General features: G+C 34.8%; 1 protein-coding gene across 2 annotated transcripts in view; it reads left to right on the top strand.

Annotated features, from left to right (window-relative positions):
* VWA8 (von Willebrand factor A domain containing 8) overlaps positions 1–12,721 on the top strand; it is a 394,275-nt gene that overhangs the window by 191,519 nt on the left and 190,035 nt on the right. For both annotated transcript variants that reach the window (NM_015058.2, NM_001009814.2), the window contains exon 21: positions 8,387–8,463. In NM_015058.2, coding sequence (NP_055873.1) covers positions 8,387–8,463 — 77 coding nt within the window. The remainder of the gene's footprint in view (positions 1–8,386; positions 8,464–12,721) is intronic.

The following is a 12,721-nucleotide window of genomic DNA, read 5'->3' as shown; positions in this document are numbered from 1 at the left end:
TAACTTTTGTTAAGTGCTTATAATAGGCCAGAGACTATACTTTACATACTAAGTAAAGGACATTTAAAATGTTTCTGTTATGGGAAATTTTTTATATATTCCACACAACGTAGAGTACGTAATGAACCCCCTTGTATTCATCACCCAGCCTCAATGATTAATAAGCATTTTGTCTATCTTGCTTTATCTATTCTCCCAACACTTTTTTGTATGTCATCTTTTAATATATTGTTCTTTTGCATATCATTTTTCTTATAGATATTTCACCATTTAGCTCTAATGTGACCACAATTTTATTATTACACCTAACAAATTAACAATAATCCCTTCATATGATCTGATGCTGTTTTCAGCTTTCCCCAGTTATCTCCAAAGTGTTACTTTGACTGAGTACAATGGCTCACACCTGTAATCCCAGCACTTCGGGAGTCCGAGGTAGGCGGATGCCTTGATCCCAGAAGCTGCAGACCAGCCTGGGCAATATAGTAAAATACTGTCTCTACGGAAAATACCAAAATTAATTATCTGGGCATGGTGGCATGCACCTGTAGTCCCAGCTACTCAGGAGGCTGAGGTTGGAGGATCACCTGACCGCAGGAGGTGCAGGTTGCGGTGAGCCAAGATTAGGTCACTAACTCCAGCGTGGGCAGTAGAGCAAGATTCTGTCTCAAAAAAAAAAAAAAAAAAGGCATTGTTTTATAGTTGATTTATTCTAGTCAGCATCAAAACAAAGCCTGGTCATTGAATTTAGTTGATGTGCCTCCTAAGTCTCTTTGAAAGAGGAAAGATGTACCCTCCTGTCATCTTTATCCTAAGAAGTATAGACCCATATTTTTGAATATAAACCTTTTATTCAGAATTATACCAATATTGATGAACTTCCATTGAGGAAATATTATAAAAGTAACTTTCACTGGGCCAATTTAATTTCTTGATTAATTTATACAATGAAATTATGCCATTTCAATTTTTTCCAGGCTAGAAATGATTCATTCTTCTCTGCGTTTCATAGCATTTGATTTTTTAACTCTTTTATACAGTCTGAAAATCAATAAACATATGTTTAATGCCAACTAAGCAAGACTCTATGAACATTTTAACTAATTCTTTGTATCTCATTCTATTAATTACAAACTTAATGTGATTAGAGATTCTATTTTTCTCCTGATAGAGGTTTAGTAAATGTTGAATTATTTAATATTGAGACACCATGAATATTTTATTGCTAAAATTAAAGAATGTATGAATTTTGCTAATTAATAATTTGAACTAAGCCCTGGCAGATTGCTACTGTGCACCCTCAGAAATATACCATGTTGCTATGACAGCATAATTGTTTAATATCTGTAGAAGCACTGAACAGTTTGTCCAGAAATTGTCTTGCCTGTGTCCCCCAGCTGGTAGTGGCAGCAGGGAATTTGATAACTTAGTGTCTAATAGCTCCAGCAGCCTGGGGATCCCAAGGCTATGAAATACTTGTTTCATCAAATACAGTGGCACTCATTTTTATTTTAAATTATTTTTTGTTCCTTCTCAAACCCCTTAGTTAATGAAGTTGCCTGAGTTTACAATGTGGAAATTCTTTGGCATTCTGCCACATTCTTTCTGCCAATTTAGTTTGTCTATCCATTGTTTCTTAGTGAATATTTTTTCTTGAATTTATTTTGAATCTGTATTTTGTTCCTGCAGACACATTGATTTTTGCCCCCTGCAATATTTGTCGTGACTGCTTTGGTTATACCTAATAGCTGACCACACTACCCAAAAGTGGATTTTTGCCATTTATAGCAACACAGTATTTCAAAGGGAAAATGCAGGGAGGTAGATATTATTATTTTCATGTGAAAAGGAGGTTATGATTTTGATAGGGAGGTTTATAAGGGTTGTGTTTTAGAGTCATGCAAACTAGTAATGTAATTGAAATGTGTGTTTTCTAATCTGACTTCTGACTACTGTTTGTTGACCGTTACAACGAACCCATTTGTATGACTGTTTAGGATTATTTACTATTCAGTTTTAATAATTTTTTTTCTGATTACAAAAGTAATGTATATGTATTGAGAGAATTTGGAAAATAAGAAATTTCCAGTGATCATTAGCAGTGATCTCTTATTTTGTTATAAGACCAAAGAATATCATTGTAAAATAGTATTTAGAGATTAGCTTGTCTAAGGCCTCTCTATTCAAATGAGCAAATCTAAGCTCAGATGGTGGTAAAAATTCCCACCTGAGAGGGATAGTATAGTGTATTTTTAGGCATTTAAGCAAAGAATTAGAAGGTTCAGCATTAGATGGGATTTTTTTAAAGCAATTGGAATTTATTTCTCTGGATTTACCATAATATTGGTTTATTTTGTTATTTTTTATTGTAATTGGTATTTGTTAATGACATTAATGTGGGGAGTTTTCTAACAAAGAAATTAGCGGCCTATGGAAAGAACATCTCTATTATACAAACTGAACTAACTTTATGAAAATTATTAAAGAATTGGAGGCAACTAAAGGCAGGCCCACAGTAAACAAGTTTCAGAGAACATGCAAGAAAGCTGAATGCTGGCAGTGGCAAATACTCACCTAGAGTCCATTTTTTAAAATTGCTGAAGAAAAGATCTGGATTTGCTTCCTCACTGTTCTCCCTTCTGAACCTTAGATAACATGCAGGGAGCTCCCAGACGTGTTTTATGTGATTTTACAACCTTAAACTGACTGATCTTTGACTCCATGACATTAAGAGACCCGAATAGGGCATGATCCTGGCCTCAAGGAGCAAGCCTGTCTACCTGCCAAGGACCTGGCACATTGCTAGAGTATACTGGTGAGAGAGAGTGGTTTAGGAACCCAAAGGAGGAAATCATTCTGGTGCTGAGAGTTAAAGGAGAGAAAACAACGGGACAGATAGGCAAAGCTTCAGAGAAGTTGGAACATTTTATCAGAAGGCTAGGTGGGGGAGTGGAAGATGACAGACAGATGGGCAAGGATGAGCTATTGTAGTCAAAAGAAACCACATAAGCAAAGATATGGATATGGAAAGGTAATTTTTAGGAGACAGTGGCTGAAAGGAACTTGTTTGAGTGAGAGTCACAGAGGGCTGATGAGCATGCTTGCAAATTTATCTGCTGTTGCAGGGATCCCTCAAGGTCTGTTACAAATCCTTCAGCATTCAAGTCCCAACATTTAGTCCAAATCCCATTCCTAGACTAATTTTCTCTTTGCCTGTTTTCCATTCCCTTTTAGCTTTTTTCTCCTACTCTATTTCTTTCTTTCTCTCCTCCTTTGATGGAACATGGATAGAGTTTTGTACGTTCTGTATTTTTTTCTTGTCCAGGAAGAAAAGCCCCAAAGTCCTTTTGCTGTAAAGAATTTTACTGCTAATCTCTCTGAGGAAACAGGGTAACTAAAATAATAAACCTGAGGAAGTTATAAGAGTCCCAGAAATCCCTCAGAATTCTTAAAGTCATGGTCCCTGAGCTTTTCTCTCAGAAATTAGAAGCATGTTTACTTCCTCTCCTTGGTTTGACTCCTGTCTGTGGGGCTTCACATAATTCCTGCTTCTCCTAACCCGGTAGTGAAAGGGCCGCCCTACTCCTGCTTCTGCGAAAATCCTTCTGGCCAGTACGTCATCATGAAGAGCACAGTCCAGCAGAACAGTAATGATAAATGTTAGCGTCATTCTCATGAGATTATTTTTATTTTTTAGGAGCTCTCATTCCACAAGTTTCTTCTCCTATATCAAATTTCCACTTACTAAATATTATTCTCAATAAGAGTTAATGATATAAAAATTTATCAATTTCATGTTGATTTTTACTAAAGGATACAAATTACATATAAATGGAATTTTTAGTAAGTAAAGATAAATATGTATAGGAACAAAATTAAAATGTTAGCAGATTTTTTAAGCAACTGGACATTGGGTGATTATTGTTTTCTAAGTTTCCCAGTGGGAAAAATAAGCATGTGTAACTTTATAATGGAAAAATAAGACACTATTTATATATTTATTCAATTAAAATAATCCTGAGGATTCTCTATTCTAGGCAAAAACTGTGATTAGAAGGAACAAGTCATTATAACTGTTTCATTTTGCTCAGGATATTTACAGAAATTCTTTCCTAGATGAAGCTTTCAGCATTTCCTCAAAGGAATTATCAGAGCTTCTTAAAATGAAGTAGTAAGCAACTTGATGAGATCTCTATTTTAGAAAAATAACTAAACAAATTGAGGATAGTCTTGTAAATCTGGAGGTGGGAAACCAAACCAAATTAGGCCCTTTCCAGTAGTCTGGGGAGGGGATGAGCTACCCTTGAGTTGAGACAGTGAATTGGAGAGGAAGGAGCAGATATGGGAAGCAGACACTTCAAAGTAAACATATCCAAAATTAAACTGCCTTTTATAACTAGACTTCCCTCCCCCACCCAGCTAATTCAGTTCTCCTCCCCTGTTTCTTCTGTGACCTGCCACTCGATTGCCCAAGACAGAAACTTTGACTTCTTCATCTCCTCATCCTTAACTCCAGGCCCTCATTAAGTCCTGTTGGTTCCTTTTCCTAAATATCTCTTAAATATATTCATTTCTCTCTATCCCGTAGTTTAGACCACCATCATCTCCTGCTTGAATTTTAAAGGAATTTCAAACTGCTTTCCTTTGCTTTCTCTTCTGCTCTCTACCAGACTCCACCGTACCATTCCATCAGAGCAATTTTCTAAAACTGAAAATCTGATCGTATTATTCCTTTACTTCAGTGGCTTCTTGGTGCTTTGAGGAAACAGTTCTAACTCTTTTAAGTGGTTTCCAGGGCTTAGCCAGACTTAAACCCCACCTACCTTTCTAGCCTGGTTTCTTACCACTCCCTTTCTCACTTTTCTCTAGCTTCTGACTTCTTGCATACCTGTCCAGCTCTCCAACTGACTGTTACCCAAGAGTCTTGACACATACTGTTCTACCTGTATCACTCCCCTTTCTCATCTTTCCCTATACCTCTTTAGTTCCTTGATATCTCGATCTAAACATAACTGTGCAGTCGGCCTTCCTGAGCCCTTAGGTTAAATCTTCAAGCATCTTGGATTGTCATATGAGGACACTATCTATTATATGTGTTGTCTGTGTTCCCTACTAGACTATAAGCTGTGAATATGGTGAGAGGCTGTAGCTGTTTCCTTTACCATTATATCCAGCTCAACTAGTACAGTGCTGTAATATTAGGTGCTCAAATAATTGATGAGTTAGGCAAGGAAGTGAGAGAGGGAGAAACGAAGGGAGGGAGGGAGAAAATGTTGGAAGGGAAAGAGGAATGAAGGAGACAAGGAATGGAAGGAAAGAATAAAACTAAAAGTTTTGCAGGTAGGGACTGCAAAGATCCTAATGACGTTTTGCAGAAGGGAAAAAATGAAGCCATCAAAAATCTTCTAGCATTCTTTTATTGAGCAGCTGAGTACTTGGCTGTGCTGTTATATGGGGGTTGAAAAGAGAAAAAAGTAGGTTTGGGTGGAAGGATGATAAGCATCTGTTTCAGAAGTTCAGTTGACGGTTAAGAATAGGGGATATCGAATGAAGCTTAGAAAAGAAGTGTGAGCTGTCTGTGATGACTGAGGTCATGGGAGAGAGAGCATATGGAACAAGACAGCCAAGGTTGGGGTTCTGGAGACTCCAGCATTTAAAGAGACACAGCAAAAGAGCTCCTTAGTGGCAGCTGGGACTCCACATCTCAAACTACATTTATGGGACTTGTGACTCCTAAATCGTGCCTTGCTCAGGAGGAATTTAAATAGGCATGGCTATTTAATAACTTTAGAGGTGGGAAGGGAGGAGGAACTCCCTGATAGCACATTTTCATGACATTTCTTCCAGGAAATCCTTTGTATTTCTGACATTGTAATGCATTTGTGATGTCTGCTTTTCCTAGGATTGCTGAATTTAACAGAACTAATATATTAACACAGACATTTTACTCATCTGAATTTGTCTATTTAAAAATTTATATTTATGGTCACATGCCATTTAAAGTTTACATACCAGTTGTAATTTACATACAGATGTGCAAATGTTATTTTCCTCCTCTGTGCTTCTGTGCTAGGCTTGAAACTATTTTGGGTGAAATCCAATTAGGTACTGAAAAGATTCCTAGAAGATGAAATGATCCATTGTTCTAACTTAAGTGAATTTGTCAATTTGACATTCAGCTCCGATAACCTTAAATCTTTTGTAGGCGAAATAAATCACTTTTAAAATTTATCCCACTTTATCTATCTATCTATCTATCTATCTATCTATCTATCTATCTATTTATTTATTTATTTATTTTTACAGGTGGAGTCTTGCTCCATCACCAGGCTGTAATGTAGTGGTGTGATCATAGCTCACTGCAGCCTCAAATTCCTAGGTTCAAGAGATCCTTCCACCTCAGCCTCCCAAGTAGCTAGGACTACAGGCATGTGCCACCATGCCTGGCTAATTTTTTGTTTGTTTGTTTGTTTGTTTTTTGTTTTTATAGAGATGAGGCCTCACTGTGTTGCCCAGGCTGATCTGGAACTCCTGGGCTCAAGTGATCCTCCCACTTAAGCCACCCAAATCTCTGGGATTACTGGTGTGAGTCATGCGCCTGGCCCGTTCTTCTTTTATAAGTCCATAATTTCAGCATCCTTATTAACATGGTCATCATTTATATTTTACCAGAATCCTCACTCCTTTTCCAGTACTTTCCAAACGCCCTATATTCGTTTATTCACTTGACAAATATTTATTGAACGCACTCTCAGGCACTGTGCTGAGCTCTGGGGATATAGTGATAAGCAAAACAGATGTGGTTTCTACCCCCTGTGGCGCTCAATAAATACCATTTCAATTGATTTGAATTTCTATCCTTGATGCTTGTAGAATGCTTTTCTTCACAAGATGTTTGCGTATGTAGTAAAAATACCAGTAAAAATACCTGCTTCCCTATTGGGCTTCTGCTATTGTTGCTGTATACCATGCATTGCCCCAGTCTACCTAATTATTTCTTTAGGATGGACCTAGAAGTGAGAAAGGAGATAACTTAAGGCCCAGATTACCAAAATCAATTTCAAACTGAAAGAAAGATATTCCATAATGCAGGGACTATAATTATGAGCATCAGAATCATATAGACCTGGATGTGAGTCCTGGTTTCACTAGAATTACCTGGATGTGAGTCCTCGTTTCACTAGAATTACCTGTATGTGACTGTGTGCACAATGCTTACCTCTGAGCCTTGGTTTCTTGATTTGTGAGGTTGAAATAATTTTAATGCCTACCTCATGGGACTGTTGTGATGATGAAATGAAATAACCCATGAAAATACTTACCCTACAGCCTGGCACAGTATGGGTTAAGTGTCCCTTATCTGAAATGCTTGGGACCAGAAGCATTTCACATTTTAGAATATTTGTGTATACATACCAGTTGAGCATCCCTAATCTAAAAATCCAAAATCTGAAGTGCTCCAATGAGCATTTCTGTTGAGCATGACCTTTGCACATCTTGTTGGTGCTCAAAAAGTTTCAGAATTTGCAGCATTTTGGGTTTCAGATTTTTGGATTAGGGATGCTCAACCCATATAAGAATCAGTAAGAGTTATTTTTGCTAGCATGTATGATATGAAGTCAGCTTTTAAACTATAACTCTTTCCACACAACCTGCTTGTTAAAAGATTTACACCCCATTAATTATATTTCACTTCTAAGTGAAAACTTTGAAATAGGGAAATAGCTTGGGGGTGGATTCCATTTTTAACAATCTGTCTTCTACAAAAGGATAGCAACTCTCAGCAGCAGTAAGTGGTAAGGAAATGAGGGCATTTCTAGGAAGAGCACATATAGTTGAGTTTTATTAATACACCTTGGTTTTAAGTTTAGGTTTCCAAGGTTTTAAAGGACTGGAAAATGGGATAAAAGGAGAAGAAATGAGTGTTTGATTCAAATAGAAAAAATACAGTATTATATTTACCTTTCTGTAACTGAAAATCATAATTCTGAAGAACTGATTAGAAAAACCATTGTTTTATACTTACTTGATCACCTTTGATGACATTCTTCAAATCTGAAATAGTTAATACTATAGGCATCTGCTGTGATGCCTAGACTTCAGTGTAAATTTACAGAACAGAAAAGTCAATATGTAGGAGGCTAATTTATGGATTTCCTTTCAAATAAGAATGGCTTAGAACTAGTACGTTTAGAAATAAATTTTTTAAACCCTTATGTCATAGGAGATATTCCATATATGTTTGCCAGTTTGGTTTTCATGAACAATAAACTAAAACAGTAACAAGGTGAGAAAGCAGGTTTTGGTAAAAGATTCTTCTGATTTGGCATAAGCTTATCTCCAGAAAATAGCCTCTTTTTGTTTAATGTTTTCTGTGTAATTACAGGGTGTAGGAAAAAACAAGATTGTTGACAGATTCCTTCACCTGCTCAACAGACCCCGAGAATATATTCAGCTACACAGGTAAGACTATTAGACCCACAACCTCTTAAAAATCTCATTTAATCATTTGTTTCCCTCCTGGTACAATTTAAAAATACTTTCTTAGAGGCCCATTTTATAAACCAGTTTTATTTCTGTTCTTCTTGCTCTTATCTCTTCTCTCCTTTAAAGGTAATAAAACCATGCAAAATTTATTTTTAAAGTGGCTAATGCTTTATAAACATGAATTAATAGATATTCTGTGGACAGAGAGTGATGAACATTACATTCTAGGAACAGATCTCATCAACATAAAGGCTCTTAAGTTAGAAGAAAAACATGTAGGATCTAAGCCTATTCTCTCACAAGCAGCTAAAATAGCTCACAAGGAGAAATAATAAACTATATGAATCTCAGGTATGAGATAAGGAACCCAGAAATCTGGTAGAAGCATGTTATTATTTGTCTCCTTGCCTTCCTTAAAGTTACTTTTTAGATAATTTTGTATGGTTAGAATGCTGGTTCAGCTTTTAATCAAATAGTTTTTCTCAATATGGGTCATTTTTAGCTTTATGAGTGAACCCGTTCTAATTTTTAGAAAATAAAATATAAATGATAGATCCACCAAAAACAAAATAGATAAGTCAAGAAATATATCAAGTAATGAACAACTTAAAGCTAACTTAGATTGTTATTGTTTTAATCCTAGGAAGTAAAAAATATATAGTATAATAGAGCATTGAATTGAGTTATAAGAGTTAGTTTCTGGTCTGGGTCTTTTCACTAAGTGATCAGTTCTTGAGAGAGAATTATAAGAGAATAAAGGGCAGAGTTAGTGGGTCAAAGGAGAAAGAGGAAAGGACTCAGGGAAAGCTGAGATATGGTGAAAAACTGCCTTTTGGGATTTATACCTCTGCCCATGACAGGGTAGTGGTACCAGATTAGCCCTACCACAATAAAAACTATAAAACTGAACAAAATTCACAAACACTAGGAAAAGAAAAACTACTAGGGATCTTTGAGCTGAACAACTACCAGAGTTCCTTCATTAAATAACCCTGGTATTCAGAAGGGTATTTATCTTATAAAGTCTATGTTTAGAAGTAGGACTAATCTATCCCTAAAGTAAGAGTTACTCCATACCTATCTTTACAAATTTTAAAACTAAGCCCTGATAAAGAAGGATGCTTGCTATTTAATATTATTTTGGAAGTTTTGTCTCATACAAAATGGCTTTAAAAATAAAAATAATGGGTATTTGGGGAGGGAGGGAGGAATACCTTGAAAAAATCAGGTGATTCAACAGTAAATTGACTTCATACCTGAACAAAACTTAACACTCAACCAAGAAGACCGCAAAATCCAAACACTCAGCAACATAGCATTCATTGAGTCAAGCATTCAATAGGAAATGACTAGACATACAAAAAAAGCAGGAAAATTGGTCAATAGAAATAGACTAAAAATGACAGGATAATGGAATTAGCAGACAAGGACTATAAAACAGTTGCCATAAATAGATTCAAACATTTAAAGGGAGAAAAATGAACATAATGACGGAATAATTGGAAATTCTTAGTGTAAAAATGACAACCCTAAAAAAGCAGCTTCACATACACACAATTGTAGTCTCAAAAGAGAGGAGAAAAAAATGGGACAGAAAAATATTTTGAAGAGATAATGGTAGGAAAATTCTCAAATTTGATAAAAAAGATAACATCACCAATTCAGGAAGCTCAATGAACTTCAAGCAGAATAAACAAAAAAAACACTACATAGCATATAATCAAATTGCTAAAAACCAAGAGAAAAATCTTTAAAATTACCAGAGGAAAAAAGACGTATTACCTATAGGGGAACAATGATAAAAGTGACTGCTGACTTCTCCTGAGAAATAAATATGAACCACAATTCAATTGAAGTGCTGAAAGAAAAAAAATATCAGTATAGATTAGTATATTTGGCAAAAATATTCTTCAGAAGGCAAAATAATGACATTTTCAGACAAAAACTGAGTTTTTTTATCAGCAGACCTGTGTAATGCAAAAAAATAAAATTACAATTCAGAATTTCCTATGAACATAGATGCAAAAATTTTTAACAAATGTTAACAAATCAAATTCAACAATATATAAAAAGAATAATATGTCATAACCAAGGAGGTTTTATCTCAGGAATGCAAGGCTAGCTTAACATTTAAAAATCAAATTATATAACACATTTACAGAATAAATAAAAAACCATATGATCCTCTAATTGCCACCAGAAAAATCATTTGAGAAAATTCAATATCCATTCCTGATAAAATATCACATAAATTACAAATATCAGGAAACTTCCTCAATCAAGAGGCATCTATAAAAAGCCTATAGCTAAACTTCATATTTAAAAATGAAAGACTAAACATTTTTCTCATGATTAGGAGAAAAGACAAGAATATTAACTACTCATATTATGCTGGAGGTGCCAGCTAGCACAATAAAGCAAGAAAACTTAATAAATGGCATGCATGTTATAGATGACACAATTGCATGAATGTGTATATAAAAAACCTTAAGAAACATATAAAAAAAGCATTAGAACTAATAAGTTAAACAAGGTCATAAGATACAAGGAAAATGTACAAAAATCAATTGTATTCCATATATATATATTCCATATATTCCATATATATGGAATATATATACTGGCATATATATATTCCATATATTCCATATATATGGAATATATATACTAGCGTATATATATATATATATATATATATATATATACTAGCGTATATATATATATATATATATATGCTAGTATCTATAGCAATGGGAAAAAATTTAAAAATACTATTTACAGTAGTATAAAGAATATATTTAGGAATAAATTAATTTAACAGAATATATGCAAATTTTAAATTTGCTATTGTTAATAGTGTGTAACAAGGTCAATAGACACCATTATTTCTTCAAATACTTCTAACTTGCTGATGGCTGTTTGAAATGGAACTGAAGGTTATCTGTTTCATACTTGTGAGATGATGAGCTTCCGTCGTAGTAAATTCTTCCCCTTATCTTCATCTACCTCAACATCCCCCTCAGTATCCTCAGTATCTCTGCTATATAGTGTTCATTCTACATTATCTGGAAATAGAAGGTATTCTTTGTTGTTTACAATACATTTTTAATCCTGATTTTCTGCTACCGTCATTTCTGCCAATATTAGAGAATTGTAATTACAAAGCTAGATCCATGAATTGGCGAAGCTAAATATAATTCTTCTCAATATGTTAGGCATTAAATGTTAAGAATTTGTTCCGTAGAAAGCCCTCTTCTCATTGTCATATTACTTGTCCCCCACATTCCCACTCCCAACTTTCCATGTTTCTTTCTTCTATCACCCATCATTTCATTTCCTAAATTTTATATAGGTCAACCACATATTTCAGAAAATTTCTAGCCTTTTCTAGTGCTTTAAGAACATAGGATCTTACATGTTCTCTCTTATAAGTGGGAGCTAAACATTGAGTATCCATGGACATAAAGATGGCAACAATAGATAGTGGGGACTGCTAAAGGGCAGAGAGAAGGAGGGGAGCAAGGATTGAAAACTAACAATTGGTTACTATGTTTACTGTGTAGATGGCAGGATCAGTCATACCCTAAATCTCAGGATCACACAATATAGCCATGTAACAAACCTGCACATGTACCCCCTAAATCTAAAATAAAGGTTGTAATTATTTTTTGAAAAGAAGACTAATACTGGTTCTTTTACTCCAGCTTCATCCAAATTTTTACCACACTATTTTTATATCTTCTCATGGTTCTTTGTATGAACGATGTATTATATAAACCTAGGACTTTCAACTCAAAAAATTTTTAAGTATTTGTCATATTAAAACTACGAGGCTGTGTATTATAGGAGATATAGGAAGAAATAAGAAACATAATCCTACAGGAGCTGTAATACTGTTCTTACTTGTAATTATTTCAATCTTCTATGTTCCCCTGAATCTGAAACACTCTCTTTTTTTTTCCTCTCCTTTAAGCTATTCAATTAGTTTTTCCTCTCACATGGATAAAGTTGGAAATATAATGAAAGAATCAGAATTTTCAACTAGTTTGCTAGTTCTCACTTGAATAATTTATATTTGTAACATATCATAATTCCAACTTTTGAGTTACAGGGCACATAGCAAGACCAATATTTTATATTTAAGGATGATAAGTGAGAATTGCAGTTCATTCTTAGCAGAGTTTGTGCTGTTTTGATTGCATAGTGTTTACCTCCTGCTGTAGAGTGAGGGTTC

Source organism: Homo sapiens, chromosome 13 (assembly GCF_000001405.40).
Source record: "Homo sapiens chromosome 13, GRCh38.p14 Primary Assembly".
In the NCBI taxonomy this organism is placed as follows: Eukaryota; Metazoa; Chordata; class Mammalia; order Primates; family Hominidae; genus Homo; species Homo sapiens.
Note: the sequence above shows the minus strand (reverse complement) of the source record. Positions and strands in the feature narration are given on the sequence as shown.